This window comes from Homo sapiens, chromosome 22 (genome assembly GCF_000001405.40).
Source record: "Homo sapiens chromosome 22, GRCh38.p14 Primary Assembly".
Taxonomy (NCBI): Eukaryota; Metazoa; Chordata; class Mammalia; order Primates; family Hominidae; genus Homo; species Homo sapiens.
The window spans coordinates 45,474,725-45,481,940 of record NC_000022.11 but is presented as its reverse complement, the minus strand read 5'-3'; the positions used below and the strand labels follow the sequence as shown (position 1 = coordinate 45,481,940).

Below are 7,216 nucleotides of genomic sequence, written 5' to 3'. Positions count from 1 at the left end.
TTTTTGTATTACTATTTTTTTTTTAGTAGAGGCACAGTTTCACCATGTTGGCCAGGCTGGTCTCAAATTCCTGACCTCAAGTGATCCGCCCACCTGGGCCTCCCAAAGTGCTCGTATTACAGGAATGAACCATCACACCCAGCCACATCTTTTCAATATTGATTCTTTCTATCAGTGACAAAGTTGTCACTCTAGTTATTCACATCTTCTTTTATATGTGTTGATTAAAATCTTGCAGTTTTTTAAAGTGTAGATCTTGCACCTTTTTTCTTTATTTTTTGTTGTATATATTTAGATCTTGCACCTTTTTAATTTTTTATAGTATATATTTAAGGTGTATGACATGATGTTTTGATATACCTATACATAGTGAAATGGCTGCTATAGTCAAGCAAATCAACATAGCCATCATCTCACACAGTTTTCCTTTGTGTGTGTGTGGTAAGAGCTCCCAAAATCTACTCCCTAGAACAGTGGTCCCCAACCTTTTTGGCACCAGAGACTGGTTTCATGGAAGACAATTTTTCCACAGACAAGGGGCAGTGGTGGTGGGGAGATGGTTTCAGGATTATTCAAGTGCATTACACTTATCATTAGATTCTCATAAGGAGCATGCAACCTAGACCCCTCGCATGCACAGTTCACAAAATGGTTCACACCCCTGTGAGACTCTAATGCTGCCACTGATCTGACAGGAGGTAGAGGTCAGGTGGTAATGTTAGCTCACCTCCCGCTCAGGTTCCTGCCGTATATGACCTGGTTCCTAACACACCATGGACCAGTACAATGTGAGAACAGACTAATGCAAGGGGTCCCCAACGCCTGTATTGCTATAAACAACTACCTGAGACTAGGTAATTTACAAAAAAAACAGGTTTTATCTGCTCACAGTTCCACAGGCTGTATAGGATGCATGGCTGGGGAGGCCTCAGGAAACTTACAATCGTGGAGGAAGGGCAAAGGGGAAGCAAGCACATCTTCACAAGGGAGCAGGAGAGAGAGAGTGAAGGCAGAAGTTCTACACACTTTTGAACAACCAGATCTCGTGAGAACTCACTCACTATCACGAGAACAGCAAGGGGAAGTCCAGCCCTGTGATTCAATCATCTCCCACCAAGCCCCTCCTCCAACACAGTTGATGCATGGTTACAATTCACCATGAGATTTGGGTGGGGACACAGAGCCAAATGATATCCCCCTGCTCTAGAAAAACTCTGAATTTAGTTCAATATTATTAACTATAATCCTCACATTGTACATTAGATCTTGCAACTTTGTATCCATCGACCTACATCTCCCCATTTCCTGCCCGCCGTATCTGCCCCTGATAAGCACGGTTTTGTTCTCTGTTTCTATGTATGCAACTTCTTTGAGTTCCATATATAAGTGAGATCATGCAATATTTTTCTTTCCGTGTCTGGCTTACTGCACTTAGCATAATATCCTCAAGGTTCATCCATGTTGTGGGTGCCTTGTTTAGTTCTAAGCACTTAATATTTTTATTGTCATTCTGATTGGAGTATTTTTTTCTATCGTGTTTTCTAATTTGTTATTGTTAATATAAAGAAAAAATCTTATTTTTCATATTACATATGAATTTTACGTATTAATTATGTACAACTATATATGCATTGAGTACAACCATATGTATTTCCATGAGATATATAAAGGAAACATAATCATAACAACTAATATATAATATCAAAGATCAGTGAAATAAATATATTTCTACTATGGAGTATCCTATAACTCTTTAAATTTATAAATATAAAGATTGTTGCAACCAAGTTATTTGTTTTTTATATAAAGTAAAAATTAAACTTAAAAAAATTTTTTTGAGACAAGGTCTCGTTCTGTGGCCCAGGCTGGAGTGCAGGGGTGCCATCGCAGCTCACTGCAGCCTCGACCTCCCAGGCTCAAGCAGTCCTCCTACCTCAGCCTCCCAAGTAGCTGGGACTACAGACGCGTGCCACAATGCCCAGCTTTTTTTTTTCTTTTTTATTTTTTAGAGACAGGGTCTCATTATGTTGCCTAGGCTGGTCTCGAACTCCTGGGCTCAAGTGATCCTCCCACCTTGTCCTCCCAAAGTGCTGGGATTACAGGCATGAGCCACCATGCCCAGCCAGAATTTTGAATTGTATGTACACTAGACTTTGTTAAAGTATATACAAATATAGATAAAATATTGGAAGGAAAAGGCAGTTTCATTAGGATAGTGGTGTTTGTATATCTTTCACACAGAATATTTTTTACCCTGTACATGTGTTACTTTTTCATTAAAGAAAAAAAATCTAAAACAGGCCATATGAACGATTCTCCAGAACACATTTTTACAACGTCAGGTTTTACCTCTACCCTTGGAAAACTAGCCCTTTGTTTCTTTTTTATTTTTAATTATTTTTTATTTTTTGTTTTGTCTTGATTTTACTTTAGAGACAGTCTATGTTTTTGATATTTAAAAATTTATAATAGGCCGGGAGCGGTGGCTCACGCCTGTAATCCCAGCACTTTGGGAGGCCGAGGCGGGTGGATCATGAGGTCAGGAGATCGAGACCATCCCGGCTAACAAGGTGAAACCCCGTCTCTACTAAAAATACAAAAAAAAAAAATTAGCCGGGCGCGGTGGCGGGCGCCTGTAGTCCCAGCTACTCGGGAGGCTGAGGCAGGAGAATGGCGTGAACCCGGGAGGCGGAGCTTGCAGTGAGCCGAGATTGCGCCACTGCAGTCCGCAGTCCGGCCTGGGCGACAGAGCGAGACTCTGTCTCAAAAAAAAAAAAAAAAAAAAAAAAAAATTTATAATAAACTTTTTTTTTTTTGAGACGGAGTTTCGCTCTTGTCACCCAGGCTGGAGTACAATGGCGCCATCTCAGCTCACCACAACCTCCGCCTCCCAGGTTCAAACGATTCTCCTGCCTCAGCCTCCCGAGTAGCTGGGACAGGTCTGTGGTCAGTGTTGGCTGAATGAATGAATCCAGTCCACCATGAATTTTTTTTTAGACGGAGTCTCACTCTGTCGCCCAGGCTGGAGTGCAGTGGCACGATCTCAGCTCACTGCAACTTCTGCCTCCCGGGATCAAGTGATTCTCCTGCCTCAGCCTCCCGAGTAGCTGGGACTACAGGCGTCTGTCACCACACCTGGCTAATTTTTGTATTTTTAGTAGAGACGGGGCTTCACCATGTTAGTCAGGCTGGTCTCAAACTCCTGACCTCGTGATCCACCCGCTTTGGCCTCGCAAAGTGCTGGGATGACAGGCAAGAGCCACCGCGCCCAGCCTATTTCTGATATTTATATGCATAGTTTGCATAGTTCATCTCAGGGTACATAGTTTTGTAACCTGATTTGTTTACTTAACATTCTATCATAAACATACTTTATGTTGCTCCAAAGCCTTCCCAGCCATTTCTTCTCAGTGAGTAATAAAGTCCCATCCAGTTGAGGAAACATCAGCAACTTATTCCCCATTGGATATTCCGGTTGATTCCAGTTTCTCTGCCGTTACAAGAAATACTCCAAAGATGGTGTATTTGTTCATAAGCCTTTCCATATTTGGGATTATTTCTTTAGGACAGAGTCCCAGCAGTCAGACGGATGGATCAAAGGGCACATACTGCTCTAATGAGCATCTCTTTGTAAGTTGGCCCAGCCACCTGCCGTTCATTGGAAGGGCAAATGGTTCTAATTAAAGGCCCAAAGTTTCTTCATGGGTTCCAGCTGCAGGTATGGAGGAATCCCTGGGGCGTGCACAGCCAGAGCAAACTTGCTCAGCTAAATTGTCAGTGCAGGGAGTCTCCGTTACAGTGTTTCTCTAAAGGAACTCAACAACTTTTGTATTGACGCATGTTTTAGGAAAATCTGCGATAGCTGTGAGCCTTTAAAATTGCATGCTTTGTTTAGCAAGGGGCAAGTGCCAAAGTCTTTCCCTGGAGCCTGGGCTTGGGAACCTCCATCATCTCACCTCACAACTATGCAGCAACTCGGTTTATGAAGTGCTTCAACCTCTGTTTTCCTCAAATCATCCCCATTCTACAGATGAGAAAACTGAGGCCCAAATGGGTGAAGGGACTTGTCTGAGATCCCATAGTTAATAAGTTGCAAAATCAATAGTCTAGTCCCTCCAACTCTAGGTCCACTTCAGGATCAATTCATGGTGGACTGGATTCATTCATTCAGCCAACACTGAACACAGAGCTGTGCCAGGTCCTGGGCTGGGCCCTGGAGACATGGAGGTGTCAGTCCCAGCTTCCTTGAGGAGCTCATGGTCTCAGGGAGACGGATTCTTTCACCAGCCATTTCAGTGCCGTGGAAAACTGTGAGATCCCTGAGAAGAGGTGGCCTGCAAGGAGCAGGGAGGGCCCTTGGAGGAGCTTGTGTTTGCCTGGAGCCCAGCAGATTTGCCAGGTGGGCAGGGAAGGGAGGGAAGGGCAGCATGGGTGAGGGCTGGGAACAAGAGAGGAGAGCATGCGGCAACTGGGTCAAGGTCCTGGCTCTCAAGAGACTCAGCTCCTGGTCTCCCGGGTGGAGACAAGTATATAAAACAAACCTTAAAAGAAAAAGATCAAGAGAGAGCACCAAGGGACAATGTTGGGGGCCATGTCCACTGTCTCATGGGTAGCAAGGGCTCCTAATGCTTAAGAACGGGCTTTGCCCTCAGAGACCTGTATTTGAACATGGCCTCTATATCTCACCGGCTGGATGACCTTGGGGAAGCCACTTACCTGTTCTGAGCTGCAGTGGATTCTGTGTACAAAAGGATGATGACACCATTCTCATACTGGTATTGGGAGCATTAAATTAGATAACACATATGAAGCTTCTAGCCCTGCACTTGGCAATGTCAGATAAGCGTTGGCTATGATAGAGGAGGAGGAGGATGCGGCAGGAAGAGGTGACCTTGGCAAACTTCGTGGAGATTGTGAAACTTGAGCTGGGAAGAGTATGAGGAGTTCTGTGGGCAGAGATGGGAGGGGAGAGGCATCTGAGGCGGAGAGAAGAGCAAAGGTTTGGAGACAGGCCTTAGCCTCTGTAGGCGGAGTGGGTGTCTCCATCACTGTTTCAGCCACATGCTGGTATGTCTTCTTCTTTTAGACAGAATCTCACTCTGTCGCCCAGGCTGGAGTGCAATCTTGGTGCAATCAAGGCTCACTGCAGCCTTGACCTCCCAGTCTCCAGCAATCCTCCCACCTCAGCCTCCCAAGTAGCTGGGACTACAGGCACACACCATCATGCTTGGCTAATTTTCCTAGTTTTTGTAGAGACAGGAGTCTCACTATGTAGCCCAGGCTGGTCTCAAACTCCTGGGCTCAAGTGATCCTCCTGCCTCAGCCTCCCAAAGCACTGGGATTACAGGCGTGAGCCAGTCCCACCCATTCCATGCCAGCATGTCTTTATGGAGCTCTAACCAAGGCCTGGCCCCATGCTGCCTGTTGGTTCCCATTTAACCCCGAGGCCTGGGAATCTGCTTTCTACAGAGGGAAGTGTGGGGTGTTCCGTGTCTCCTCAGCACCACCAGGGAGTCTGTCCCCCCTGTCCCCCTGCCACGCTGTGTCCAGGGCACCACAGTGGCTTCCTCTCGATGTCACAAACCTTGTCTGCTGGGCTTGGCTTCTGCTGGGGCTTGCTCCTGGCCTTCCTTCTGGCCACTTGGCTCGGCTCCTGTTTGTCTCCCGCACCCTCTGGCTGCATGGCCTTGTGGGTGGGTATAGCCAGAGTAGGCCCTGCAGACCCCACAAGCTTTACAACAAGACACTCTGCCAAGCCCCTGGGCTGTCCCGGAAGGCTATGATGTCTCTGGCGATGCCCAAGGCCCAGCCATCCCCACGCCCGCCCCTCCCTCCTGCAGCACCGGGACTGTTGGGCAACAGCAGAAGGATCCTGCCACATGCCCTGACTCCCCAGTGTCTGCAGGACTCAGTCCAGCCTCCCAAACTGCCACGTGTGGCCCTAGGGACACTCTACTCTGTCTGTTTTCTTCAGTTGCATCTTCAGCCTCCTCTCTCTGCATGCTCAGTGAATGGCTTCTTTATTCATTCATGCACTCGCTCACCAAGGATTTTGTTGAGTGTGACCATGCGCCGAGCACTGTCCTGGGAGCGGAATCGAACCAAACAGACAAAAACTATCTCAGCATTGCAGTCCCCCTCCCTGATCACAGACAGAAGCTTCTTGGTCTGAGAGGTACACCTGATACCAGGTGGTGATCTCACCACAGAACGGGGCTCTAACTTTATCTCTGGTCTTAGTTTCCTTCTGAATGTAAAATCTGCAGTGTTTATTGGGAAACAGGAAAAAGTCAGCCCGCGTCTTGGATTTCACAGTTTATAAGGCTGACTTCATTTATGACCATGTTGTATGCGCTCTCATGTTTCAGACCACCAGATGCCTTTAACTCCCCCTGGGGTTTCAGGGTTTGATGGTGCAATATGCACCAGTGTGCAGATGTGGGGTGCAGGGTGGGTGGTCTGTGGGGCCACGTGGGATGTGTGTTTCCTCTCCTCTCTGCCCTCCTCTGGGTCCCCACGGGTCCTTCCCCACTGCAAGCTCATGCTGGCATTGACGGTTTGCCAATCTCTCTCACCATGGGTTGGGGCTGGCACCACACACAGCATGGCCCTGAGTCCTCCAACAACCTTGAGAGGCAGGTGTATTGTACCCACTTTAGAGATGGAGAGACTGAGGCTGGAAAGGGCAGTGGCTTTCTCTCACGCAGCCTGTGAGAGGCTCAGCCTGGTTCTCTTCTCTCCCCAGCTCCAAGTTTAGAGCTCAATCCACAAAAGCACCAGACAACAAGAGACTTAAATGGATTGATATGGTTGATTCTCCCAGACCTTAACCTTTGTAAGACTCTTAATGACAGGGGCAAGATGAGGTGGGGGCTTCTTCAAAAGAGCAGGGAATTGGCCCGGTGTGGTGGCTCATGCCTGTAGTACCAGCACTTTGGGAGGCCAAAGCGAGTAGATCACTTGAGTTCAGGAGTTCGAGACCAGCCTGGTCAGCATGGCAAAACCCCGTCTCTACTAAAAATACAAAAATTAGCTGGGCATGGTGGCAGACGCCTGTAATCCCAGCTACTCAGGAGGCTGAGGCACAAGAATCGCTTGAACCCGGGAGGCGGAGGTTGCAGTGAGTTGAGATCGCACCACTACACTCCAGCCTGGGCGATAGAGTGAGACTCCATCTCAAAAAAAAAAAAAAAAGAAAGAAAGAAAAGAAAAGAAA

The 7,216-nt window shown here is 47.1% G+C and overlaps 1 annotated feature.

Annotated features, from left to right (window-relative positions):
- Positions 5,168-5,667: an enhancer, noted in NCBI's record as "H3K4me1 hESC enhancer chr22:45872155-45872654 (GRCh37/hg19 assembly coordinates)". NCBI's record gives its function as "activates a minimal SCP1, AML or CMV promoter by ChIP-STARR-seq in naive H9 embryonic stem cells {active_cell/tissue: H9 hESC(naive)}" and the evidence as "EXISTENCE:reporter gene assay evidence [ECO:0000049][PMID:30033119]".